The following is a 25,226-nucleotide window of genomic DNA, read 5'->3' as shown; positions in this document are numbered from 1 at the left end:
CACCCAGGCTGCACGCAGACCACACAGGCTGGGCTCCAGCAGGAGGCGTTGGCCGCCCGCTGACCTGCCTGGGTCAGCCTGTCCAGACTGCCCACTGGGCCACATTCAGCCACGTGCTGGAGTCCTCTAGACCTCACCCCAGCCACAGTGTGGCCACGCAGTGGACGCTGAGCTCACATCTTACTGTGGGGTTTTTTTTGTTTTTTTTTTTTTTGAGATAGAGTTTGCCCTTGTCCGCCCAGGCTGGAGTGCAGTGGCGCAATCTCGGCTCACTGCAACCTCTGCCTCCCGGGTTCAAGCGACTCCGCTGCCTCAGCCTCCTAAGTAGCTGGGATTACAGGTGCCCGCCACCGTGCCCGGCTAATTTTTTGTATTTTTAGTAGAGACGGCGTTTCACCATTGTTGGCCAGGCTAGTCTTGAACTCCTGACATGAGGTGATCCACCCACCTCGGCCTCCCAAAGTGCTGGGATTACAGACGTGAGCCACCAAGCCCAGCCCTTGCATGGATTTTTAGTAACATTTTGCTGTTGTTTTACCAAAAAAAACCCCCACATTCTTAATTGAAAAAATGAAAAATAGAGAAAAACTGGCCAGATAAAGAAGATCACCTACAACACCCCTCTGCGAAGATGGTTTTAGCCGATGTTTAGGAAGGGCTATCTGGCATTTAGGCCCCAGCCTCTGTGTGTAGCGCACTCCTGGGCCCTTGGCCTGTGCCTGGCCACGTGGTGCCCACCAGCACGGCCTTTCCTTTGGCCTCAAAAGCCTGGCACTGCTGGCCCATCGGGGAGGCGGGGGCAGGCAATGTGTCTCAGATGGTAGGGACACCCGGGGCAGCCTGGGGGGAGGAGCTTTGAGTCAACCATTTACCCCAGCACCCCTGCCCCCTCCTGGGACCCATTACCACACAGCACCCCTGCCCCCTCCTGGGACCCATTACGAAATGGTCACAACAGGACCATTTTCAGAGCCACATGTCCAGGTGCCCAGTGGAGGGGCAGGCCCAGTCCCTGCCAAGCAGGACCCACTGAGCAAGGCGAGGCCACAGCTCTCTGGTCACTCCAGGATCCTTTGGCCTTCACGGACTCCTGGAGGAAAGCCAGGCCAAGGGTCACAGGGCCCCCGCTGGCCGGGAACACGGAAGTGCTGCACCTGTGCAGTGCCTGTGAGCACAGCCTCCTGCTCCCCCTGCCATCCTGATGCATGCTGTTTTTTCCTCTTTACCTGACAGAGCTCCCAGCTCCTCCAGCAGCCGACAGGAGGCCCGTCAAGATGCAGGCAGGCATTGCCACCCCAGGGATGAAGACAGCAGCCCAGGCAAAGGCCAAGACCACAGGAGCCTCCCGGTCTCATCCTGCAAAAGCTAAAGGCTGCCAGAGGCCCCCCAAGATCCGTAACTACAACATTATGGACTGACTTCCTCCCCCCACCCCGCCCCACTAAGGGGTGCTCGGGGCCTCCGCATGGTGCCTGTGCTTTCACCTACGTGTTGTGGGGGGGTGTGGGCACAGCGTGCAGGGTGGAGGCAGGGAGCTGCAGGGCAGGCTCCCAAATGCTGCTGAGGCGACCCTGCTGACTGAAGGCCTCCCTGAGCACAGGGCCCATTAAAACCAGGTTCCTCCCTGGGGCGTCTGCTTGGCCTTAGCGTTGTTTATCTGTCCTACTTGGGAAATGCAGTATCAAGTGCCTGTGCCAGAGCCTGGCCTGCCCGTGTCACCACCCACAGCCATCTGCACACCAGTGGTGTTGGGGACAGTGTGGCCTTCCTCAGAGCCTGGTAGCAGGTAGGGGGCAGATCAGAAAGCCCACCCACAAAGCAGGCGTCTCCTGAGAGTACCATGGGAGGGGCCCTCCCAGAAGGAGTGAGAGCCTTGGATCCCAGTGAACCGGGCCAAGGTGACCCCTGGAAGCCAGGTGGGCACCTGGGCCTCATGCAGGTTGGGGTGTGCATGTCAGGTGCTGGCAGGGTGGGGGCCAACCGGGGACAGCGGTCACTGCTGGGCCTTCCACGTCCACCCCCACGAAGGATAACAGCAAAATGTCCCTGCCACCTGAGTGCCCGGGGCCAGGTACCTGCAAGGATGAGAAACGCACACGTAAACTGACGCCCGTCCGCCCGGAACACACTGCACTACCCCGCCAAAAAGCACTTCCAAGAGTCCTCGCGTGTCCTCCACACGAACACAATGCTCTGCGACCGGCAGGAGGGTGACTGGGGGTGGTTCATCACACGGACGCAGTGCTCTGCAACCGACAGGACGGTGACTGGGGTGGGGGTTCATCACACGGACGCAGTGCTCTGCGACCGGCAGGATGGTGACTGGGGGGGGTTCATATCCCACCCCCACTCCTCAGGAGCCCAGTCTCTGTCCCCCGCACCCCCCAGGCCTGGTCACACTCTGCCCACAGCAGAGTGCAGGGGTGGAGGCAGCCGGTACCCAGCTGGGTGAATTGACGGGCCTTGCCATATACCCTCGGGCCACCTTTCTGAACTGGGCAGACAGCTTCTCTGGGAACACGATGGGAGAACGCTGCTCCCAGCCCTAACCTGCCGTGCCACCTTGGCAAATCGTGGGACCTTTGCAGCTTTGGTTTGCACCCCCAGTGTAAAATATAGACAGTGCCATCGGCTGGCCTAGCTCACAGGTGTGCGGGCCGGATAACCGTGACAAGCAGAGACCACACCACACAGACAAAGGCTGTGGCCCCAGGGCAGGGGCGTTTGAGGTTAGCCTCCGTCACTTGCTCCATGGGAATCCAGACGGAGTTGGGGATGGGCTGGAGGCTCTCAGTGCTCTGTGGTCTCCCACACATGTCCCCTGGAATCGAGTCACGGCCCTGTGAGGTTTTTTTGTTTGTTTCTTTTTTTGAGACAGAGTCTTGCTCTGTCGCCCAGGCTGGAATGCAGTGGTGCAATCTCGGCTCACTGCAACCTCTGCCTCCTGGGTTCAAGCTATTCTCCAGCCTCAGCCTCCCGAGTAGCTGGGACTAGAGGCACGCGCCACCACACCCGGCTAATGTTTGTATTTTTAGTAGAGACGGAGTTTCCCTGTTTCCCAGGCTTGTCTACAACTCTTGACCTCGTGATTTGCCCGCCTTGGCCTCCCAAAGTGCTGGGATTACAGGCGTGAGCCACCAAGCCCGGCCGCTGCCGCTCACTTTCTGTGGAAGCCCTCAGGGTGCTGGACGAGTCTCCAACCTCCTTGGGAGCCAGCCAGGGCTCCCCTGTAGCTGGCCCAGCCCTCGACAGGCTGCAGAGAGCAGGGCCCCGCTGGCCGCTGATCACCAGCACTGGCAGCCAGGGCCACCTGGGAGGTTTGGAGCATGGAGAGCCGGAGCTGCGTGCCCGCACGCCTGAGGCTGACACAGGGCCTCACCCTGAATCAGAAGAACCCCCGCAGTGGGGACAGCAGTGCGGGGCCAGCCCCGGCCCTGTCTTCCCTTGTCCTTCCTTGACCCTCGGTCCCACCGTGCGTCAACCACAGCCCCAGAAGGGAAAAGACGCGGAGTGGCCGCCTGACCCTCAGGCCTGCTCTCAGGAGAGGAAGGAAGCGGGACACCTGCAGAGGGGCCGGGGGCCCCAGTCTCCGGTTCCCCTTCAGCGGCCCGGGCTTGCTGAGCCCTCAAAGTAGGACACGCAGCCAGAGACACCTGTGGCCTCACAAGGCCCGCTTGCCCCCCATGGGGTGCCTGGCCCCGCAAGCGCGAAGCGGTCAGAAAAGGGAGGCCGCGCTTCAGGGCTCAGGCCGCCCAAGGGGCCACGATTCGAGGAATCACTCGGGAGGGAGGGAGCGCGCGAGGGCCGGGCTGAGCCCCCGCCCGTGGGTGCGCGCCTGGAAAACTCGCAGCCTCCGCCCTGGGAAGTGGGGCAGCGGCTCCCTTTGTCCGCACCACACCAGGTGGGTGTCCCGGCCGACTCCGCTCGCCACGTGGCCGCGCCCCTCCCCTCCGCCGAGCTCCAGCGGCCTGGAGTGCGCTCGCCCGTTCGGCCCTGCGCCTCGTCCGGGTCCCCGGGAAGCTGCTAAGGAGGGGCCGTCGGGTGGGTGGACGTCCGTCTCGGGTCTGGGTTCCCCGCCGCACCCGCGAGGAAAACCGGGGATGCGCTGCGATGACCGGCAGTAACCCCGGCCGGGGCGCCCGCGGCCGGGGTCAACGCCCGCACTTGCGCCGCGGCCCGCGAGGCATCCGGGACCGCCCCGCCGCCCGCCCATCACCCTATCGCCTAGCAACGCCCACCCGCGCGCCGCCATTGGGCCGGTGCGAACACCCCTGGCGCCCGATTGGTTGCTGCTGCCGCCGCGCCGCGCAACGCCGCGCCCTCAGCCAGCTCCGCGCGGGCAGCGACGGCGGCGTGGAGTCGGCGGCCGAAGTGCGGGCACGCGGGTCCGTCCGTCCTTCCGCGCGCCTGTGGGTCCGAGCGCCCCGCCGCAGCCGGCTGGACCCCCGGTGTGGCCACGGGGTAGTCCCCAGTGTGGCCCAAGCATTCCCATCCCGCACACGTGGCCCCGGCGGACACGGGGGTCGGGGATGGCTCGGGAGGCGCGCCGCGGGCTCGGTCGCAGCCGCGTGCGCGTCGGGGCCCGCGGGGCGGGAGGCGGAAGTCGGGGGGCGGTGGTTTCCCGCCCGCCCCGCCCCCGGCGCTCCTCAGTCCCAGCCCCACCCCCCCAGGCGCGTTCCCGCGCAGGGTCCCGGCTCGGGCGGCGGCGCGCACGAGCATCACCCCACCGGCGGCGGCGCGCCGGGTCCCGGGGCGCAGCCCCGACGCTCATTGGCCTGGGCGGCGCAGCCAAGCTGTCAGCCCATGTGGCGTGGCCGCCCGGGGATGGCCGCGGTTTAAATAGCGTCGGCGCCGGCCTAGAGGGAGCCAGAGAGACGGCAGCGGCCCCGGCCTCCCTCTCCGCCGCGCTTCAGCCTCCCGCTCCGCCGCGCTCCAGCCTCGCTCTCCGCCGCCCGCACCGCCGCCCGCGCCCTCACCAGGTACGAGCAGCCGGCGCTGGGGCCGGGGCGCGGGTCGTGGTCGGGGCTGGGCCCGGGGTTCCCGGGGTGGCCCGGCTCCTCATCCTCCGCTCTCGGGGCGCGCGTGGCCCGGCCCCGTATCCAGGGGTCGCCTGGGCGGCCTGTCCGGGTCTCGGTGTTCGTGCCCCTTCGGAGGCGCCCGGGGCCCCGCGGAGTAGGTGGGCGGATGGCGGGGGAAGGACGCCGGGGAAAGCCACCAACAGCCGCCTTCGCTTCCCGTGGGGGAGGCCGCGGACCCTGAAGGGCCTGGAGGAGCCCCCGGCTCGGCCTCCCCGCGCCCACAAAGGCGCCGCCGCATCCTCCTCCCGGAGCCGCCCCGGAGCCGAGGCCCAGCCCGAAGGGGACGCCGCGAGGGAGGAACGGGGGGGCGCAGGGGCCGCGCCGGGACCGGCCTCCCCATCACGTGGCGCAGCCCGGCCGAAGCGCAGGGGTCCCGAGCAGCCCCCGCCCGGGGCGAAGGGAGGCCGGGCGCGCCGCGGTGTTCCCACCCCCTGCCTGGCCGTCGACCCCGCGTGAATAGCAAGCGGCGAGGACCCAGCGTGCGGGCCTGGAGCTGGCCCGGGGCAGCCAAGCCTCTGTGAATCGCAGCGGGTGGGAAGGCGGCCGCCTCCCTGCCGGGACGGCCCAAGGGAGGCCGCACTGCCGAGGGGCGGCGCGCGTATCAGGCCCTGGGGCCTCGTGCAAGTGGCCAGACCAGCGCTGGCCTCCGCCCCCTCCCCCCAGGGCCGCACCAGCCCTCATGCTGGAGGAGGAGCCGGCGGCCTGGGCACCCGTTCCGGGTCTTAGGGACCTGGGCTCCAGGGAGGGCCTCCTGTGGTGTGTGGGTTGGTATGGGGAGGCAAGCGTCTGTGGGTTCACCCGCGCAGGTGAAGGGTGCCAGGCAACACCTGCGTGTCCTGGCCAGGAGTGGTTCTCCAGGTTGGACCCTGCTGGAGGGGTTGGACTGGCTGGGTCGGTCCACAGTGGGGCAGGGGCCACCTTTCCCCCAGAGCATAGGCTATCCCCATTTCGTCCCTCCCCAGCCCTGGTGGCTCTTGGGCTGGCCTGGACAGCGGGCCCCCACCCCAACACGGGTGAGCATGGGTGCTGAGTACCCCCCTCTAGGGCTCCCAGCCACCTCCATGCCCCGGCTTTGGGACCCTGCCTCTCCATTTCTTTGATGGCCCTTAGCAGGCTGGCCACCTGAGGCCTTGTCCCCATCTCAGGTGACCCTGCCTGCTCCTCACTGTGAGCCCCCTGGTGCCCTAGGGATGGCCTGGGACAAGCTCCAGGAGCCTTGGAAGGCTGAGACTCAGGCGAGTGGAAGCCGACACAGGCGCAGAAACCAGTAACTGCTGGGGAGGCCAGGGCTGCAGGGCTCCAGTGGGGTACCCCAGCCAATACCCTGAACTGAATGGGTCAGGGCCCAGAGGCGGGCCTGTTCCCAGAGCACGCAGCCCCTCCCAGCGAGAGCGGGGTCAGGGCCCAGGAACTGGCCACATGAGGAAGGGAGCCGCAGGAGCCAGGGCCCGCACGGACCCTCAGGGTGGTGCTTGGCCCCATGGGTGTCCACCTGTTCTGGGTGCCGAGGCTGTTGACGGGGGTGTCGTGGCCGGGATGTGTGGGGCACTCACACCGCCCGCCCTGCAGAGCAGCCATGGAGGAGGTGGTGATTGCCGGCATGTCCGGGAAGCTGCCAGAGTCGGAGAACTTGCAGGAGTTCTGGGACAACCTCATCGGCGGTGTGGACATGGTCACGGACGATGACCGTCGCTGGAAGGCGGGTATGTGGCTGCGGGGCTCCCCGTGCCTGGGGTGTGAAGCTCCATCTCCACCTTTGTCCTCACAGCAGCCTCCCTGCTGTGCTGTGTCCTCACCACCCAGGCACTGGCCTGAGGCCGGTCCCAGCTGCAGAGCCACTGGTCACCCATGGGCGAGGCCTAGCTGCAGCCTCCTTCCTGGACATTGCACCAGAGTGGCCTAGAAAATGCGCCCAGCCTGCCAGGAGGTTCCCTCAACGGCTGCAAGGCCAACAGGAGGCTCCCCCAATGGCTGCAAGGCCGAGGGCTGGCCCAGGCAGGGCCCATCTGCTTGTTACGGAGGAGCCAAGCTCAGAGGATGGGTGACGGGCTGGGGTCTCTCACCCATGCAGGGGGTGCGGGGGGCCAGAGCCCTTCCGGCCAGGCTGCCCCTGCCTGTGTCTGTCCTGAGCTGGGAGGTTGCATACCAGATGTGCTCCGGGAGGCTGGAGCAACTGCCCCACACCCAGTAGGCTCTTCCACAGAGCAGCTCTACCTGACAGGCAAGCTGTGAGTCAGCATGGTAGAGCCGAGGCACCAGCCCGGCAGATGGTCCCCCAGCCTCACTCCCGCCGAGCTCTCTGCTCTGCGGCCCATCTCAGGATTGGGGCTTGGGGCTTGGGGCTTGTGCAGCAGATCTGGTCGTACCAGTCCCCGCTTTGGGGCCATGGTCTTCCCCTCCTGGGGAGCCTGCTCCATTGTTTGGGCCTCCCAGGCATAGCAGAGAGTCCTCAGTTCCACCATGGCCCCTCCAGGGGCCTGCAGCACCCCACAGGGCCCCCACCTCTGGGCAGCTTCCGTCAGAGATTTAAACACCCGCCTGTCCCACAGGGCTCTACGGCCTGCCCCGGCGGTCCGGCAAGCTGAAGGACCTGTCTAGGTTTGATGCCTCCTTCTTCGGAGTCCACCCCAAGCAGGCACACACGATGGACCCTCAGCTGCGGCTGCTGCTGGAAGTCACCTATGAAGCCATCGTGGACGGAGGTGGGTCGGGCATTCGCGACTGCTGCGCCGAGGGCTCCTGCTGCTCACGTGGAATAGGCAGTGTTTTCTCTTCTTGGTTCTGGTAGAACCAGGTGCTGGCACCACCTACCCTCCCCGGCTGTGCCCCTGGCCTGGCCAACGGGCTCAGGGAGGTGTGGGCCACGGGGTAGGCCGCAGTTTCCCAACTGCACCCCAGAGGTGTCGCGGGTGTGCCCTGACCTGAGCGTACCAGTCTCCTCGCTTCTGATGTCTGGCTGGTGCTGGGGCCGGGGCCGGGGCTGGAGTGACGAGAGGCAAAGCAGGAGGTTCTTGAGGGGCCCTCCAGGCCCCCACCCCCACCAGCCAAGCAGCGGACAGCACCGGCCCTGCTGTCTCTCCCCTCCCACCCTCCCCACTACCCTTGCCCACGTCCCCCCACCCCAGGCATTTCAACCCTCTCCCGCCAGCCTGGCCCTCGCTCTGACTGGCATTTGACCTCGGACAAGCGCCACGCCGTTTTTTTATTTTTATTTTTATTTATTTATTTATTTTTAAGACGGAGTCTCACTCTGTCACCAGGTTGGAGTGCAGTGGCGCGATCTCAGCTCACTGCAAGCTCTGCCTCCTGGGTTCACACCATTCTCCTGCCTCAGTCTCCTGAGTGGCCGGGACTACAGGCGCCCACCACCACGCCCGGCTAATTTTTGTATTTTTAGTAGAGATGGGGTTTCACCATGTTTGCCAGGATGGTCTCGATCTCTTGACCTCGTGATCCATCCATCTCAGCTTCCCAAAGTGCTGGGATTACAGGCATGAGCCACCACGCCCAGCCATGCCATTTCTTAAGATCCAGGTGCTCCCTCCCCGGGCGGAGAAGGACCTCCTGAGGGGGAGGCTGAGCCCTGGGCTGCCCTTGGGTGTGAGCGGTTCACACACCCACCCACCCTAGGGCAGAGCCAGCCCACCAGGGGCGAGGAGGGGCCCTGCTGGCCGAGAGGTGGAAGCCCTTCTCCTGCGCCCTTCCTGCTGCCAGACCCCACCCCAAGACTAAGGTTATGCTCCCCGGGGGTGACCGGTGTCCCTCTCTCCTTCCCGAGCCTGGACACTTGGCCTTTGTCTCCTCGGTTCCTTATCACGGCCTGTTCTGGTGCAGGCTGCCCTTGGCGCTGGAGAGGCCACTGGCCGACGGGCTCATCAGAGCTGCCGGTGACACCAGGGGCCAAAGGCGTCGCCTGGGGACAATGCTGCCCTCTGTCCTTCCTGGAGCCACTCTGGCCGTGCCTGGTGCCCTCCCCTGGGCCCGCCTGCCCCCTCCGCCTCGTTCCCTCTGTGACCTGGTTCCTGTTCCAGGCCTCACCTGGGCTGGCTGCTGGCCACAGGCTCTGTTCTGGCCCCTCTGCAGGACACCTCACCCTCCTTAGGCCCCTTCCAGGGTCCCACTGGGATGGACCCCCCCTCACCCCAAGCCAGTGAGGCCAAGATGGGACCTTCGCCCCAGAGCCGGGTGGGTGGGTGGGCTGGCTGCGCTGTGGGGCCCGGCCGTGGCACCTTGACCACTGTTTGTGGCAGGCATCAACCCAGATTCACTCCGAGGAACACACACTGGCGTCTGGGTGGGCGTGAGCGGCTCTGAGACCTCGGAGGCCCTGAGCCGAGACCCCGAGACACTCGTGGGCTACAGCATGGTGGGCTGCCAGCGAGCGATGATGGCCAACCGGCTCTCCTTCTTCTTCGACTTCAGAGGTGGGTCCTGCCCAGCCTCCTGCGGAGGTGGGTGGCCTTCAGGTCCCCACATGCTGAGCAGAAACCACGTGGCGTGGGCTCACTCCGTGCAGTGTGTGTCCAGCCTGGTGGCAGGAGGTGTGCTCAGGGGTCTCGTGTGCTCACAGCCCCACCTGAGCCGCAGCACCCTTCCTTGCAGGGCCCAGCATCGCACTGGACACAGCCTGCTCCTCCAGCCTGATGGCCCTGCAGAACGCCTACCAGGCCATCCACAGCGGGCAGTGCCCTGCCGCCATCGTGGGGGGCATCAATGTCCTGCTGAAGCCCAACACCTCCGTGCAGTTCTTGAGGCTGGGGATGCTCAGCCCCGAGGGCACCTGCAAGGCCTTCGACACAGCGGGTGAGTGTGCGGCTGCGCGGCCAGGGCAGGCGGGACAGTGGCACAGGACGGCCCCCCGCACAGTCCCCACGCTGAGCAGGATCCTGCCAGCTCCGGGGATCCCCCACCCAAGCACCCACCCCACACCCCAGAGCTCCTCCTGGTGGGGTGGGGGCCGGCGTGGGGCTGAGCCCCGGGCCTGAGGTGCTGCTCTACCCAGGGAATGGGTACTGCCGCTCGGAGGGTGTGGTGGCCGTCCTGCTGACCAAGAAGTCCCTGGCCCGGCGGGTGTACGCCACCATCCTGAACGCCGGCACCAATACAGATGGCTTCAAGGAGCAAGGTGGGCTCTGCCGGGGTTCCGGGGTGCTGGGGGGCAGGTGGGAGCCGGGGCTGGGGCTGCAGCACTGAGCCGAGCCCTCCGCAGGCGTGACCTTCCCCTCAGGGGATATCCAGGAGCAGCTCATCCGCTCGTTGTACCAGTCGGCCGGAGTGGCCCCTGAGTCATTTGAATACATCGAAGCCCACGGCACAGGCACCAAGGTGATGCCCCCCCCCCCCGCCCCACTCACCACCCCATGAGCCTAACCTACGCCCATGCCTGGAGAGGTGACCTGGCCAGAGCCCCTCACCCCCCATGTTTCCCACAGGTGGGCGACCCCCAGGAGCTGAATGGCATCACCCGAGCCCTGTGCGCCACCCGCCAGGAGCCGCTGCTCATCGGCTCCACCAAGTCCAACATGGGGCACCCGGAGCCAGCCTCGGGGCTGGCAGCCCTGGCCAAGGTAGGTGGGGCTGGGCTTGGGGGTCCCTCAGGCTCCTGCTCCCTGGGACTGGGTTGCGCCATGGCTGGGCACTGCTGCTTTCTCTTTGCCAAGTGGAGGCGGGGGCTTCCCCACCAGGAGCCTCTGTCCCCCGGGCTATGCTGCAGGTCTGAGCAGAGGCACTGAGGCTGACAGCAGGGAGAGCTCGTAGCCAGGCTCGCTGGGCCTTCCCTGGAGGCCTGATGCCCTGCAGAGCGTCTGCCGGACACGGAGCCGAGCTGGAGGAGCCGCTTGGGTGGGAAGAGCGAGGCAGGAGCAGGCCTGGGGGGGTCCACGGCACCATCAGGGTCTCCCGTGTCGCCCACCCGTCCCTACAGCTTCCTGACCCACTAGCAGAGGCCTGGGGACCTTTAGAGAGACCAGGCACAGGAGCCCCAACACCCATGATCACTCACGCCCTCTGCCCCCCAACTTCTGCAGCCTCTGAGATGCAACATCTGGGCCAAGGGGGCCTTAGTGTTCAGGCCACAGCCAGGCTTTGGTGGGTCCACATCAGGCTGGGAGGCAGCAAGGCCGGAAGGGGAGGTCTTGGACCAAGCTGAGGGCAGGGCCATGGCGGCTCAGTCCTCGGACCCCTGTGCCATGGCAGAATTAGGTTGGGGACAGGAAGTGCATCGGAGAGGGCCCTGGAACCCTGGCCCCACATGAGAGTCTCGGGGAGGTGCCTGCCCCCAGCTCAGGCAGTGGTAGAGGGAGTGGGGCGGCTGCCCATCCACCACGTACCCCCGCAGGTGCTGCTGTCCCTGGAGCACGGGCTCTGGGCCCCCAACCTGCACTTCCATAGCCCCAACCCTGAGATCCCAGCGCTGTTGGATGGGCGGCTGCAGGTGGTGGACCAGCCCCTGCCCGTCCGTGGCGGCAACGTGGGCATCAACTCCTTTGGCTTCGGGGGCTCCAACGTGCACATCATCCTGAGGCCCAACACGCAGCCGCCCCCCGCACCCGCCCCACATGCCACCCTGCCCCGTCTGCTGCGGGCCAGCGGACGCACCCCTGAGGCCGTGCAGAAGCTGCTGGAGCAGGGCCTCCGGCACAGCCAGGACCTGGCTTTCCTGAGCATGCTGAACGACATCGCGGCTGTCCCCGCCACCGCCATGCCCTTCCGTGGCTACGCTGTGCTGGGTGGTGAGCGCGGTGGCCCAGAGGTGCAGCAGGTGCCCGCTGGCGAGCGCCCGCTCTGGTTCATCTGCTCTGGTGAGCCCACACTCTGCCCCCAAGGTGGTCCCTTCCCTGGGGAAAGGCAGGCGAACTGGAGCTGGTGGTCCCCTGAGGTGCTCTCTGGGACGGGGATGGGCACACAGTGGCACGGGATGGGGCTGAGCCTCGTGACGTGCTCTCTGGGACAGGGATGGGCACACAGTGGCGCGGGATGGGGCTGAGCCTCATGCGCCTGGACCGCTTCCGAGATTCCATCCTACGCTCCGATGAGGCTGTGAAGCCATTCGGCCTGAAGGTGTCACAGCTGCTGCTGAGCACAGACGAGAGCACCTTTGATGACATCGTCCATTCGTTTGTGAGCCTGACTGCCATCCAGGTAGGGCCCAGCCTGCCAGCGTGTGAGCAACGCCAGCCCCAGGGCTCTGGCTTTCCCTGGAGCCCAGGAGCTGCAGTGTTGAGTCCGGGGCCCCTGACAGCCCCTTTGCTAGGCAGAGCCTTGTGCTGGGGGCAGGACGGGAGGGGAGGAGGGGTCTCAGTGGGGCTGTGTGGGGGCCATAGGGGCTTCTTTCCTATCAGGAGACCTGGGAGGGTCGATGGGGCGCGGGGGTGGAGATGGCCTAGTGGGGCCGGGGGCCGCCCCCAACAGCTGCACCTGCTGGAGGTTGCAACCTGAGTGTCCTGTTCCCACCCCAGATAGGCCTCATAGACCTGCTGAGCTGCATGGGGCTGAGGCCAGATGGCATCGTCGGCCACTCCCTGGGGGAGGTGGCCTGTGGCTACGCCGACGGCTGCCTGTCCCAGGAGGAGGCCGTCCTCGCTGCCTACTGGAGGGGACAGTGCATCAAAGAAGCCCATCTCCCGCCGGGCGCCATGGCAGCCGTGGGTAGGTCTCCCGGAGGGGCCCCCAGCACCTCCAAGAAAGGAGGCTGCCTTCTCGCTGTGGGGTCCTCACCTGCAGCCCTGGCCTGGCCCCCGTAGGATAGAGTGGCCCCCGCTGGCCCGGGGACACCCAGCTCGGACACAGCCGTGCGCGAGTCCCCTGCAGCTGCCCCACTGGCCCCACACCTGGCAGCCTTGGGCCTAGGCACGTGTCCATGGGCATCAGGCCTGCGTGGAGCCCCCGTGTGATGAGCACACAGCTGCAGCATAGCAAGAACCCAGGGGCTCTGGTGAAGCCAACACACGGGTCATCAGGGTTCCCTCAGACTGGTGCCCTCTGTTGGCACCCATCTCTGAGCCCCATGGGCCACATGTGGGCAGGACCTGGAAAGAACCTTGGCTGCAGAGGACTGAGGGGGCCACCATCTGGGGACTGGGCTCCCAGGAGCTGCCCCTGGAGTGGCAGCTCTGTAATGACACCTCCACCCACGGGTCAAACACAGCAGGGGGCGAACCTTTCTCATGAAGGCTCCAAGGCTGCCATTACCACACTTGTCATTACTGCCCCCAGCTGCAGGCAGTGTCTGGGTGGGTGGGTGGCTGGGAGCGGCTCGGTGTCCACGCTAAGCCTCTGAGGCTGGCTCTGCCATAGGCTTGTCCTGGGAGGAGTGTAAACAGCGCTGCCCCCCGGGCGTGGTGCCCGCCTGCCACAACTCCAAGGACACAGTCACCATCTCGGGACCTCAGGTGGGTGCTGCGGCCTGGGCGGGCTCCTCTGTCCCCTGCGCCTGCCATTGCAAGTCTGGCAGGGACACGCGGCCACGGTCTACGCCCCACCAAGCTCTGACGGGCCTGGGGCATGGGGCAGGTTTGTCCTCAGGTCCCTTGCCCATTCCCTCTCGGTTCCCTTGGGGTGAGGTGGGTGCGCCCTACCTCTCCGAGCCTGAGGTGGGTGCCCAGCCAGGATGCTTATCCAGGCTCCCACGATGTCCAGGCCCCGGTGTTTGAGTTCGTGGAGCAGCTGAGGAAGGAGGGTGTGTTTGCCAAGGAGGTGCGGACCGGCGGTATGGCCTTCCACTCCTACTTCATGGAGGCCATCGCACCCCCACTGCTGCAGGAGCTCAAGAAGGTGGACTAATACGGCCTGGGGGGTGCGGGGCGGGCCAGGGGACCCACAACCCAGCACTGACCTGGCCCCTCATGCAGGTGATCCGGGAGCCGAAGCCACGTTCAGCCCGCTGGCTCAGCACCTCTATCCCCGAGGCCCAGTGGCACAGCAGCCTGGCACGCACGTCCTCCGCCGAGTACAATGTCAACAACCTGGTGAGCCCTGTGCTGTTCCAGGAGGCCCTGTGGCACGTGCCTGAGCACGCGGTGGTGCTGGAGATCGCGCCCCACGCCCTGCTGCAGGTAGGCCCAGCCTGGGGGCAGCAGGCGCCGGGAGCCTGGGATGGGCGCCTCAGCTGAGCACCAAGAGAGCCCACCTGCCCTGCCGCCCCCAGGCTGTCCTGAAGCGTGGCCTGAAGCCGAGCTGCACCATCATCCCCCTGATGAAGAAGGATCACAGGGACAACCTGGAGTTCTTCCTGGCCGGCATCGGCAGGCTGCACCTCTCAGGGTGGGTCCCTTCCCAGCCCGGGTCTCGTCTCCCGGAGTCGGGGACGGCGTGGGGTGGGTGAGCGGGGCTGCGGGCCCCTCACTGACCCAGGCCGGTGGCAGCAGCCCTGGATGGTCCACCGCAGGCAGTGGGTGGGCTGAACCCAGAGCCCCTGGACCCCGGTGACGGGTGTGCTACCCATGCCTCCCTTCTCCGTAGCATCGACGCCAACCCCAATGCCTTGTTCCCACCTGTGGAGTTCCCAGCTCCCCGAGGAACTCCCCTCATCTCCCCACTCATCAAGTGGGACCACAGCCTGGCCTGGGACGTGCCGGCCGCCGAGGACTTCCCCAACGGTTCAGGTTCCCCCTCAGCCGCCATCTACAACATCGGTGAGCAGGGGCCCGGCGGGTGGGCAGACTCTTCCCTCCCCACAGACGCCCGCTCTGTGCTGAGGCCTGTGCCCTCCCGCAGACACCAGCTCCGAGTCTCCTGACCACTACCTGGTGGACCACACCCTCGACGGTCGCGTCCTCTTCCCCGCCACTGGCTACCTGAGCATAGTGTGGAAGACGCTGGCCCGCGCCCTGGGCCTGGGCGTCGAGCAGCTGCCTGTGGTGTTTGAGGATGTGGTGCTGCACCAGGCCACCATCCTGCCCAAGACTGGTGAGGGGTACCCCAGGACCAAGGCGGGGGTAGCTGGGGGGCGGGTGCTGCCCTCTGATCTCCAACTCTCCCGCTCTGCAGGGACAGTGTCCCTGGAGGTACGGCTCCTGGAGGCCTCCCGTGCCTTCGAGGTGTCAGAGAACGGCAACCTGGTAGTGAGTGGTAAGCAGGGCCGGTGGCACGGGAGCTGCGGAGGCTGTGCCCGCTGGCCATGCCGCCCGTCCTCAGGCCCTTCCGCACCTCCCTTTCCACAGGGAAGGTGTACCAGTGGGATGACCCTGACCCCAGGCTCTTCGACCACCCGGAAAGCCCCACCCCCAACCCCACGGAGCCCCTCTTCCTGGCCCAGGCTGAAGTTTACAAGGAGCTGCGTCTGCGTGGCTACGACTACGGCCCTCATTTCCAGGGCATCCTGGAGGCCAGCCTGGAAGGTGGGTACTGACTACACTGCTGCCCAAGCCACCGGGGAGGGCGGTCGTCATTGTGGGGACCACAGAGGGCACCCACAGCTAGGCATGCAGCTTGGGAGGGAGCAGAGGGGCCCGGTGGGCTCTGGGAGGTGGCCCCAGGGACCTGGGAGTTCCACAGCACCAACCAGGCCCTGTGTGCAGGTGACTCGGGGAGGCTGCTGTGGAAGGATAACTGGGTGAGCTTCATGGACACCATGCTGCAGATGTCCATCCTGGGCTCGGCCAAGCACGGCCTGTACCTGCCCACCCGTGTCACCGCCATCCACATCGACCCTGCCACCCACAGGCAGAAGCTGTACACACTGCAGGACAAGGCCCAAGGTAGCCCCGCCCCAGCCCCAGCCCAGTGCCCCCACCCAAGTATGCCGCACTCACCCAGCCTGTCCCCACAGTGGCTGACGTGGTGGTGAGCAGGTGGCTGAGGGTCACAGTGGCCGGAGGCGTCCACATCTCCGGGCTCCACACTGAGTCGGCCCCGCGGCGGCAGCAGGAGCAGCAGGTGCCCATCCTGGAGAAGTTTTGCTTCACTCCCCACACGGAGGAGGGGTGCCTGTCTGAGCGCGCTGCCCTGCAGGAGGAGCTGCAACTGTGCAAGGGTGAGGTCCCAGCCCTGCTGGCTTCGGACACCTCTGGCGATGAGGAGCGATCGCCTCCCCTCACGTTGACCCCAGACTTGCTTCTCCACGGGGCCCCCTTTGGGGTCAGCAACCCTAGCCCAACCCTCCGGCCGGAGCTCACGATGGCGGCCTCCCTCCCTCCCCCAGCCCCCAGCCTTCCTCGTCCCTGGTCACTGTTCCTCAGTCTTGAAAGGGTACTTGGGGGCAAAGATGACAGATTCAGCCTAAGGTCACACCTTGGCTAGGCACAGAGTAGCCCCTGCAGCTGAATGCGGCCCCTCACTGCGTCCACAGTGGGCAGGAGTCAGCCTCCCAGTGGTGGGCAGCCCCTTCCTCAACCCTCAGCTATTTCTCATCCTGTGGGCAGAGCGGGGTGGTGGCCCCAGAAGGACAGAGTGGGTCTGAGAGCCCATGCCAGGCAGATGCCCTGGGGCTTTGGGAACACCAGGCCTGCCTCCCTCCCTCCCCAGGGCTGGTGCAGGCACTGCAGACCAAGGTGACCCAGCAGGGGCTGAAGATGGTGGTGCCCGGACTGGATGGGGCCCAGATCCCCCGGGACCCCTCACAGCAGGAACTGCCCCGGCTGTTGTCGGCTGCCTGCAGGCTTCAGCTCAACGGGAACCTGCAGCTGGAGCTGGCGCAGGTGCTGGCCCAGGAGAGGCCCAAGCTGCCAGAGGACCCTCTGCTCAGCGGCCTCCTGGACTCCCCGGCACTCAAGGCCTGCCTGGACACTGCCGTGGAGAACATGCCCAGCCTGAAGATGAAGGTGGTGGAGGTGGGTGCCTCCTGGGCAGCCAGGCCTCTGCCCCGGACATGGTAGGACCCACCCTGACATCAGTTGCAGGAGACAGCACAGACACGGGGCGGGCCCTGGGCGGTGGGTGGGGCCGGCCAGTTCCCTGTGTGGTTCTGTGCACGTGTCCTGTGCGGTCCACACAGCCACCGTGGAGGGTCCGCCCGTGGGCTCCAAGAGGTGCAGCCTAGGCAGGACCCCAGGGACAAGACCAGTGGCATCCATGCGTGCCCATGGCTGGCACCGTCATCAGGTTGACGGGGAAGCCTTTCTGCCAGACTGAGGCCTCATGGACATTTTGCCCAGCCCCAGGTCAGGGGCACCTGCCTGGTGTGGGGCTGATTCCAGAATTCACCCCCTACAGGTGCTGGCTGGCCACGGTCACCTGTATTCCCGCATCCCAGGCCTGCTCAGCCCCCATCCCCTGCTGCAGCTGAGCTACACGGCCACCGACCGCCACCCCCAGGCCCTGGAGGCTGCCCAGGCCGAGCTGCAGCAGCACGACGTTGCCCAGGGCCAGTGGGATCCCGCAGACCCTGCCCCCAGCGCCCTGGGCAGCGCCGACCTCCTGGTGTGCAACTGTGCTGTGGCTGCCCTCGGGGACCCGGCCTCAGCTCTCAGCAACATGGTGGCTGCCCTGAGAGAAGGGGGCTTTCTGCTCCTGCACACACTGCTCCGGGGGCACCCCCTCGGGGACATCGTGGCCTTCCTCACCTCCACTGAGCCGCAGTATGGCCAGGGCATCCTGAGCCAGGTGCGGCCGCCGGGCAGGGGGACAGGGTGGGGGCCGGGTGAGGGCCAGGCGGGCAGGGTGCTGACCACCGCCCCCACAGGACGCGTGGGAGAGCCTCTTCTCCAGGGTGTCGCTGCGCCTGGTGGGCCTGAAGAAGTCCTTCTACGGCTCCACGCTCTTCCTGTGCCGCCGGCCCACCCCGCAGGACAGCCCCATCTTCCTGCCGGTGGACGATACCAGCTTCCGCTGGGTGGAGTCTCTGAAGGTCAGGCCCTGCCCCACCTCCAGGCCCCACCCCACCTCCCAACTTGCCGAGTGTGGCCTGACCCTCCCCGACCCGCTGTAGGGCATCCTGGCTGACGAAGACTCTTCCCGGCCTGTGTGGCTGAAGGCCATCAACTGTGCCACCTCGGGCGTGGTGGGCTTGGTGAACTGTCTCCGCCGAGAGCCCGGCGGGAACCGCCTCCGGTAGGAGCACGGCCCCTCACCACTTCCCCTTCCCCACCAGCCTCCCCATCCCCAGCCTGAGCTCCCCGCCTCTGCCCCCAGGTGTGTGCTGCTCTCCAACCTCAGCAGCACCTCCCACGTCCCGGAGGTGGACCCGGGCTCCGCAGAACTGCAGAAGGTGTTGCAGGGAGACCTGGTGATGAACGTCTACCGCGACGGGGCCTGGGGGGCTTTCCGCCACTTCCTGCTGGAGGAGGGTGAGCCCCCGACACTGCCCTGCCCCTCCCGGGAGACTGCACCCGAAGGCCCCGCAGCAGCCCCACCTCCCTGTTTCCCTAGACAAGCCTGAGGAGCCGACGGCACATGCCTTTGTGAGCACCCTCACCCGGGGGGACCTGTCCTCCATCCGCTGGGTCTGCTCCTCGCTGCGCCATGCCCAGCCCACCTGCCCTGGCGCCCAGCTCTGCACGGTCTACTACGCCTCCCTCAACTTCCGCGACATCATGCTGGCCACTGGCAAGCTGTCCCCTGATGCCATCCCAGGTATGGGTGGCATGGGGCCGTGGGAGTGGACTGGGCCGGGGAGCAGAGACCCCAGCAGCTAGGACCTGCCTGGGAGCCCCTCGGGAGGGAAGGGCAGGCGGTGAGGGGCTCAGTGCCGTCTCCCCCAGGGAAGTGGACCTCCCAGGACAGCCTGCTAGGTATGGAGTTCTCGGGCCGAGACGCCAGCGGCAAGCGTGTGATGGGACTGGTGCCTGCCAAGGGCCTGGCCACCTCTGTCCTGCTGTCACCGGACTTCCTCTGGGATGTGCCTTCCAACTGGTGAGTGTGTCGAGGGTGTGAGCCTGGGCCCCACGTGGATGGCGGCCAGGCCTGTGCTGACCCACCTGCTGCATCCCCAGGACGCTGGAGGAGGCGGCCTCGGTGCCTGTCGTCTACAGCACGGCCTACTACGCGCTGGTGGTGCGTGGGCGGGTGCGCCCCGGGGAGACGCTGCTCATCCACTCGGGCTCGGGCGGCGTGGGCCAGGCCGCCATCGCCATCGCCCTCAGTCTGGGCTGCCGCGTCTTCACCACCGTGGGTAAGGCCCCGCCCCCGGTGCCTCCCGCTGCCCTCCTGGCCCCGCCGCCCTGGCTCACCAGCCGCGCTTCCTCTCTTCACCAGGGTCGGCTGAGAAGCGGGCGTACCTCCAGGCCAGGTTCCCCCAGCTCGACAGCACCAGCTTCGCCAACTCCCGGGACACATCCTTCGAGCAGCATGTGCTGTGGCACACGGGCGGGAAGGGTGAGTGGCCCCCACAGCCCCCACCTGCCTCCTGCCTAGCCTCCGGCCCAGGGAGAAGCAGGGTCTGGCCCTCTGGACTGTGGTGGCTGGGCTTGCAGTGGGTGTGATTGTCTGGCCCCTCTGGCCCCCTAGGCGTTGACCTGGTCTTGAACTCCTTGGCGGAAGAGAAGCTGCAGGCCAGCGTGAGGTGCTTGGCTACGCACGGTCGCTTCCTGGAAATTGGCAAATTCGACCTTTCTCAGAACCACCCGCTCGGTGAGGCCGGCAGCGCCTGGGCGGGGGTGGGCATGGATGGGTGTGGGTGGACCTGTGGAAGGCCCTGGGTGAGCACGGCCCCTGCCCGCAGGCATGGCTATCTTCCTGAAGAACGTGACATTCCACGGGGTCCTACTGGATGCGTTCTTCAACGAGAGCAGTGCTGACTGGCGGGAGGTGTGGGCGCTTGTGCAGGCCGGCATCCGGGATGGGGTGGTACGGCCCCTCAAGTGCACGGTGTTCCATGGGGCCCAGGTGGAGGACGCCTTCCGCTACATGGCCCAAGGGAAGCACATTGGCAAAGTCGTCGTGCAGGTGAGGGGAGGAGTCCCGGCGCCTCGGGCACCCCAGGCTCTGGTCCCCAGGCAGTGCCTGAGCCGGTGGGTGCTGCTTGGACGCAGGTGCTTGCGGAGGAGCCGGAGGCAGTGCTGAAGGGGGCCAAACCCAAGCTGATGTCGGCCATCTCCAAGACCTTCTGCCCGGCCCACAAGAGCTACATCATCGCTGGTGGTCTGGGTGGCTTCGGCCTGGAGTTGGCGCAGTGGCTGATACAGCGTGGGGTGCAGAAGCTCGTGTTGACTTCTCGCTCCGGGATCCGGACAGGTGAGTCGGCAGGGGTGCTTGTGGACCAGCCTGGGCCAGGCACAGCCCCGGGCCCCTGAGCCCTTCTCTGCAGCCCACCATTGTGGGCTGTCACGGTGCCTGGGGTCTGTCCCCCTCCATCTTGTGGGGGGCTTGCTGGATGGGGCTCTGCGGCTGCTCCCCACTTCCCCAGCCCGGCGTGTAGGGAAGAGACCGTACCCTGGCCCAGTCCAGCCCACAGTCCTGTGTCCCGCAGGCTACCAGGCCAAGCAGGTCCGCCGGTGGAGGCGCCAGGGCGTACAGGTGCAGGTGTCCACCAGCAACATCAGCTCACTGGAGGGGGCCCGGGGCCTCATTGCCGAGGCGGCGCAGCTTGGGCCCGTGGGCGGCGTCTTCAACCTGGCCGTGGTGAGGGAAGGCCCCAAATGGGGCCCTCAAAAGCCCCAAGACCAAGGGGGGGACCCTGGGTGGACGGGTGAGGCCCTGGAGCTGCAGGGAGTGCTGAGGATGCCTCCCCCAGGTCTTGAGAGATGGCTTGCTGGAGAACCAGACCCCAGAGTTCTTCCAGGACGTCTGCAAGCCCAAGTACAGCGGCACCCTGAACCTGGACAGGTGGGTACCGCACAGCCCTGCTCCCGCCTCTGCCGGGCTCTGGGCTCAGGGCCGTGGGAGCCAAGGTGGTTTGTTGACAGCCCTCTCTGGCGTTTCCTGGGGATGGGACGTTGGGGGCTCCTGGGGATGCTGGCCAATGGGGAGTGACACGCGTGCCCACAGGGTGACCCGAGAGGCGTGCCCTGAGCTGGACTACTTTGTGGTCTTCTCCTCTGTGAGCTGCGGGCGTGGCAATGCGGGACAGAGCAACTACGGCTTTGCCAATTCCGCCATGGAGCGTATCTGTGAGAAACGCCGGCACGAAGGCCTCCCAGGTGGGCCCCACCCTCTCCCCTCGACCCTGCCCACCCTGCCCTCTCCCAGTGGCCACTCCCCACCCCCACCTTCTCCCCGCAGCCCTGCCCACCCCACCCTCTCCCAGTGGCCACTCCCCACCCCGACCTCCCCGCAGCTCTGCCCACCTGCCCCCTCCCCCACAGGCCTGGCCGTGCAGTGGGGCGCCATCGGCGACGTGGGCATTTTGGTGGAGACGATGAGCACCAACGACACGATCGTCAGTGGCACGCTGCCCCAGCGCATGGCGTCCTGCCTGGAGGTGCTGGACCTCTTCCTGAACCAGCCCCACATGGTCCTGAGCAGCTTTGTGCTGGCTGAGAAGGCTGCGGCCTATAGGGACAGGGACAGCCAGCGGGACCTGGTGGAGGCCGTGGCACACATCCTGGGTGAGCACTCCCAGTAGGAGCCGCGCCAGGTGTTTCCCCTGCTGGCATCAGGGTCTTGGGACATAGCAGTCGTGCCCCTGTGCGCCTCAGTTTCCCCATCTGCAGAGCCAGGGTGCGGGCGCAGGTGTCACTGTGGTGGTGGTGCTTTGGGAGATGCACAGCCCACGCACCCCTGGGTGTCAGCCCTGCCGCATACAGGCCGTCCCCATGCCCCCTCTGGAGTTGCCGACCCGGCGCATCCCTTCCAGGCATCCGCGACTTGGCTGCTGTCAACCTGGACAGCTCACTGGCGGACCTGGGCCTGGACTCGCTCATGAGCGTGGAGGTGCGCCAGACGCTGGAGCGTGAGCTCAACCTGGTGCTGTCCGTGCGCGAGGTGCGGCAACTCACGCTCCGGAAACTGCAGGAGCTGTCCTCAAAGGCGGATGAGGCCAGCGGTGCGTGTGGGTGGCCAGGCGGGAGTGGGGTCCCCGGGCCTCCCCAGCCCTTCCTCCTTGTTGTCTGGACCGTGTCCCGGCAGGCATACCGCCCTTCGTCACGGGTGCCATTCTGAGCGTTCCCACCCCGACTCCCACCTGACGTAGCACCGTGGGGACCTGCGTGCGTGTCTGTGTGTCCTTGCGTGGGTGCCAGGGCTCTGCACCCAGACCAGCCTGGCATCTGCCCCTGTCTTCACAGAGCTGGCATGCCCCACGCCCAAGGAGGATGGTCTGGCCCAGCAGCAGACTCAGCTGAACCTGCGCTCCCTGCTGGTGAACCCGGAGGGCCCCACCCTGATGCGGCTCAACTCCGTGCAGAGCTCGGAGCGGCCCCTGTTCCTGGTGCACCCAATCGAGGGCTCCACCACCGTGTTCCACAGCCTGGCCTCCCGGCTCAGCATCCCCACCTATGGCCTGCAGTGCACCCGAGGTACTCCCGGGCCCTCCTCTGGAAGCGGTGGTCAGTGCTGGCCATCACGGGGCCCGTGGCTGCCGCCTGCACATGCTGAGTGCCCGGCACTGCCATTGCAGCTGCGCCCCTTGACAGCATCCACAGCCTGGCTGCCTACTACATCGACTGCATCAGGCAGGTGCAGCCCGAGGGCCCCTACCGCGTGGCCGGCTACTCCTACGGGGCCTGCGTGGCCTTTGAAATGTGCTCCCAGCTGCAGGCCCAGCAGAGCCCAGCCCCCACCCACAACAGCCTCTTCCTGTTCGACGGCTCGCCCACCTACGTACTGGCCTACACCCAGGTGAGAGCCAGGCTGGTCCTAGAGGCCTACGGCAAACGTCTGGGCTCCCCACCTGTGCCCTGGCTTTGGGGGACCGTCGCTTAGGAGGCCCCGCCCCTTCCATCTGCTCAGCAGTCCCTCCTTCCTCTCAGAGCTACCGGGCAAAGCTGACCCCAGGCTGTGAGGCTGAGGCTGAGACGGAGGCCATATGCTTCTTCGTGCAGCAGTTCACGGACATGGAGCACAACAGGGTGGGTCCTGGACACCCCTGAGGCCGCAGGACCCAGAGTACTGGGCAGGAACGGAAGGGGGAAGGGAAGGATGGGATGGGACGCGAAGAGCGTTAAAGGCCCCCCAACTTCACCCCTTTAATAGCCGATCCCGGCCGGATGCGGTTGCTCATGCCTGTAATCCCGGCACTTTGGGAGGCTAAGGCGGGCAGATTACCTGAGGTCGGGAGTTCGAGACCAGCCTGACCAACGTGGAGAAACCCCTTCTCTACTAAAAATACAAAAATTAGCCAGGCATGGTGGCACTCACCTATAGTCCCACCTACTCGGGAGGAGAATCGCTTGAACCGGGTAGGTGGAGGTTGCGGAGGGAGGAGAATCGCTTGAACCGGGTAGGTGGAGGTTGCGGTGAGCTGAGATCGCCCCACTCCATCTAGCCTGGGTAACAAAAATGAAACTCGTCTCAAAAAAAAAAAGCCCACCCGCAGTGTAGCACAGGGCAGGCCGGTGCTGTGGGTGCTGCCAGCACCTGCTCAGAGCCCGACCCCACAGGTGCTGGAGGCGCTGCTGCCGCTGAAGGGCCTAGAGGAGCGTGTGGCAGCCGCCGTGGACCTGATCATCAAGAGCCACCAGGGCCTGGACCGCCAGGAGCTGAGCTTTGCGGCCCGGTCCTTCTACTACAAGCTGCGTGCCGCTGAGCAGTACACACCCAAGGCCAAGTACCATGGCAACGTGATGCTACTGCGCGCCAAGACGGGTGGCGCCTACGGCGAGGACCTGGGCGCGGACTACAACCTCTCCCAGGTGCGCAAGGGGCCTGACGGGAACGGGGACAGGGACAGGAGTGGGGTGGGACGGCAGCTGATCGCATCCCCTGCAGGTATGCGACGGGAAAGTATCCGTCCACGTCATCGAGGGTGACCACCGCACGCTGCTGGAGGGCAGCGGCCTGGAGTCCATCATCAGCATCATCCACAGCTCCCTGGCTGAGCCACGCGTGAGCGTGCGGGAGGGCTAGGCCCGTGCCCCCGCCTGCCACCGGAGGTCACTCCACCATCCCCACCCCACCCCACCCCACCCCCGCCATGCAACGGGATTGAAGGGTCCTGCCGGTGGGACCCTGTCCGGCCCAGTGCCACTGCCCCCCGAGGCTGCTAGATGTAGGTGTTAGGCATGTCCCACCCACCCGCCGCCTCCCACGGCACCTCGGGGACACCAGAGCTGCCGACTTGGAGACTCCTGGTCTGTGAAGAGCCGGTGGTGCCCGTGCCCGCAGGAACTGGGCTGGGCCTCGTGCGCCCGTGGGGTCTGCGCTTGGTCTTTCTGTGCTTGGATTTGCATATTTATTGCATTGCTGGTAGAGACCCCCAGGCCTGTCCACCCTGCCAAGACTCCTCAGGCAGCGTGTGGGTCCCGCACTCTGCCCCCATTTCCCCGATGTCCCCTGCGGGCGCGGGCAGCCACCCAAGCCTGCTGGCTGCGGCCCCCTCTCGGCCAGGCATTGGCTCAGCCCGCTGAGTGGGGGGTCGTGGGCCAGTCCCCGAGGAGCTGGGCCCCTGCACAGGCACACAGGGCCCGGCCACACCCAGCGGCCCCCCGCACAGCCACCCGTGGGGTGCTGCCCTTATGCCCGGCGCCGGGCACCAACTCCATGTTTGGTGTTTGTCTGTGTTTGTTTTTCAAGAAATGATTCAAATTGCTGCTTGGATTTTGAAATTTACTGTAACTGTCAGTGTACACGTCTGGACCCCGTTTCATTTTTACACCAATTTGGTAAAAATGCTGCTCTCAGCCTCCCACAATTAAACCGCATGTGATCTCCACCACCGTCCTTTCTTCCCTCCTCCCTGACCTGGCAGCTGCAAGCTCTCCAGCTCCACCCCACCCAGTCACGGGGCCGTGAAGGGGATGCCCTCTGTCCTCTGGTCCCCAGTTCCCACACACCCCTAGGCCATGTCCCAGAGCCGGGGCTGGGCCGGGGAGTGAGGAAGGAGCCCGCGTGGCAGCCCCGGGCTTCCCGGGAAAGCGCTGGGACTGGCGGGGGGGGGGGTACCGAGGCTCTGGCCAAGAAACACCACCAGTGAGAAACGTGTAGGAGGTACAGACACTGGGAAGTTGGCTTCAGCTGAGGAGAGGCCCCTCGTGGAGAATAGTATTTGCTTGAAGTCAGTGGATTGCAGGCATTCGCCCTGCCAAAGATGCCGTCACAGCCTCACCAAGACGGTGTCAATAGCGCCACTGGCTGGCCAGGTTGACCCAGAAGACTTGGGTTTAGGCAAAGGAGTGG

At 66.2% G+C, this 25,226-nt stretch overlaps 2 protein-coding genes and 1 non-coding gene across 14 annotated transcripts in view, besides 8 other annotated features; all 3 read left to right on the top strand.

Moving 5' to 3' along the window:
* CCDC57 (coiled-coil domain containing 57) overlaps positions 1-1,630 on the top strand; it is a 111,373-nt gene extending 109,743 nt beyond the window's left edge. For all 11 annotated transcript variants that reach the window (NM_001367828.2, NM_198082.4, NM_001394669.1 and 8 more), the window contains one exon: positions 1,234-1,630. In NM_001367828.2, coding sequence (NP_001354757.1) covers positions 1,234-1,418 — 185 coding nt within the window. In that variant the 3' untranslated portion in view covers positions 1,419-1,630. The remainder of the gene's footprint in view (positions 1-1,233) is intronic.
* Positions 3,692-5,171: a silencer, noted in NCBI's record as "silent region_9194". NCBI's record gives its function as "represses an Ori minimal core promoter by ATAC-STARR-seq in GM12878 lymphoblastoid cells {active_cell/tissue: GM12878}" and the evidence as "EXISTENCE:reporter gene assay evidence [ECO:0000049][PMID:35858748]".
* FASN (fatty acid synthase) lies at positions 4,864-24,762 on the top strand. Of its 2 annotated transcripts, none has more exons than XM_011523538.3 (43): positions 4,864-4,979; positions 6,653-6,781; positions 7,628-7,780; positions 9,329-9,502; positions 9,681-9,881; positions 10,081-10,203; positions 10,288-10,403; positions 10,511-10,645; positions 11,416-11,878; positions 12,031-12,218; positions 12,536-12,725; positions 13,374-13,468; positions 13,716-13,850; positions 13,928-14,131; positions 14,224-14,339; positions 14,538-14,710; positions 14,793-14,984; positions 15,066-15,146; positions 15,239-15,415; positions 15,596-15,775; positions 15,847-16,050; positions 16,542-16,846; positions 17,229-17,618; positions 17,698-17,862; positions 17,944-18,065; positions 18,147-18,301; positions 18,384-18,587; positions 18,716-18,866; positions 18,947-19,125; positions 19,209-19,328; positions 19,461-19,583; positions 19,675-19,898; positions 19,985-20,186; positions 20,422-20,573; positions 20,686-20,777; positions 20,940-21,091; positions 21,257-21,499; positions 21,748-21,936; positions 22,178-22,408; positions 22,510-22,730; positions 22,862-22,960; positions 23,492-23,743; positions 23,820-24,762. In XM_011523538.3, exons 2-43 carry the CDS (start codon positions 6,655-6,657, stop codon positions 23,955-23,957), a joined length of 7,536 nt encoding a protein of 2,511 aa, XP_011521840.1. In that variant the 5' UTR covers positions 4,864-4,979; positions 6,653-6,654; the 3' UTR covers positions 23,958-24,762. The 2 variants fall into 2 exon arrangements, with proteins under 2 accessions (XP_011521840.1, NP_004095.4); NM_004104.5 differs by having other exon boundaries at positions 6,648-6,781.
* Positions 5,242-5,431: a silencer, noted in NCBI's record as "silent region_9193". NCBI's record gives its function as "represses an Ori minimal core promoter by ATAC-STARR-seq in GM12878 lymphoblastoid cells {active_cell/tissue: GM12878}" and the evidence as "EXISTENCE:reporter gene assay evidence [ECO:0000049][PMID:35858748]".
* Positions 5,452-5,661: a silencer, noted in NCBI's record as "silent region_9192". NCBI's record gives its function as "represses an Ori minimal core promoter by ATAC-STARR-seq in GM12878 lymphoblastoid cells {active_cell/tissue: GM12878}" and the evidence as "EXISTENCE:reporter gene assay evidence [ECO:0000049][PMID:35858748]".
* Positions 5,640-6,555: an enhancer, noted in NCBI's record as "H3K27ac-H3K4me1 hESC enhancer chr17:80054421-80055336 (GRCh37/hg19 assembly coordinates)". NCBI's record gives its function as "activates a minimal SCP1, AML or CMV promoter by ChIP-STARR-seq in primed H9 embryonic stem cells {active_cell/tissue: H9 hESC(primed)}" and the evidence as "EXISTENCE:reporter gene assay evidence [ECO:0000049][PMID:30033119]".
* Positions 5,722-5,771: a silencer, noted in NCBI's record as "silent region_9191". NCBI's record gives its function as "represses an Ori minimal core promoter by ATAC-STARR-seq in GM12878 lymphoblastoid cells {active_cell/tissue: GM12878}" and the evidence as "EXISTENCE:reporter gene assay evidence [ECO:0000049][PMID:35858748]".
* Positions 12,960-13,140, top strand: SNORD134 (small nucleolar RNA, C/D box 134). Its single transcript, NR_132755.1, has one exon. It is a non-coding gene; the product is annotated as a small nucleolar RNA, C/D box 134 (small nucleolar RNA).
* Positions 21,198-22,083: an enhancer, noted in NCBI's record as "H3K27ac-H3K4me1 hESC enhancer chr17:80038893-80039778 (GRCh37/hg19 assembly coordinates)". NCBI's record gives its function as "activates a minimal SCP1, AML or CMV promoter by ChIP-STARR-seq in naive H9 embryonic stem cells {active_cell/tissue: H9 hESC(naive)}" and the evidence as "EXISTENCE:reporter gene assay evidence [ECO:0000049][PMID:30033119]".
* Positions 21,741-21,941: a silencer, noted in NCBI's record as "peak3029 fragment used in MPRA reporter construct". NCBI's record gives its function as "represses an SCP1 promoter by STARR-seq MPRAs in K562 erythroleukemia cells {active_cell/tissue: K562}" and the evidence as "EXISTENCE:reporter gene assay evidence [ECO:0000049][PMID:32103011]".
* Positions 23,501-23,701: a silencer, noted in NCBI's record as "peak3028 fragment used in MPRA reporter construct". NCBI's record gives its function as "represses an SCP1 promoter by STARR-seq MPRAs in K562 erythroleukemia cells {active_cell/tissue: K562}" and the evidence as "EXISTENCE:reporter gene assay evidence [ECO:0000049][PMID:32103011]".
* Positions 24,763-25,226: the final 464 nt, after the last annotated feature.

Source organism: Homo sapiens, chromosome 17 (assembly GCF_000001405.40).
Source record: "Homo sapiens chromosome 17, GRCh38.p14 Primary Assembly".
Taxonomy (NCBI): Eukaryota; Metazoa; Chordata; class Mammalia; order Primates; family Hominidae; genus Homo; species Homo sapiens.
The sequence above is the reverse complement of the archived record's forward strand: the minus strand, read 5'-3'. Positions and strand labels throughout refer to the sequence as shown.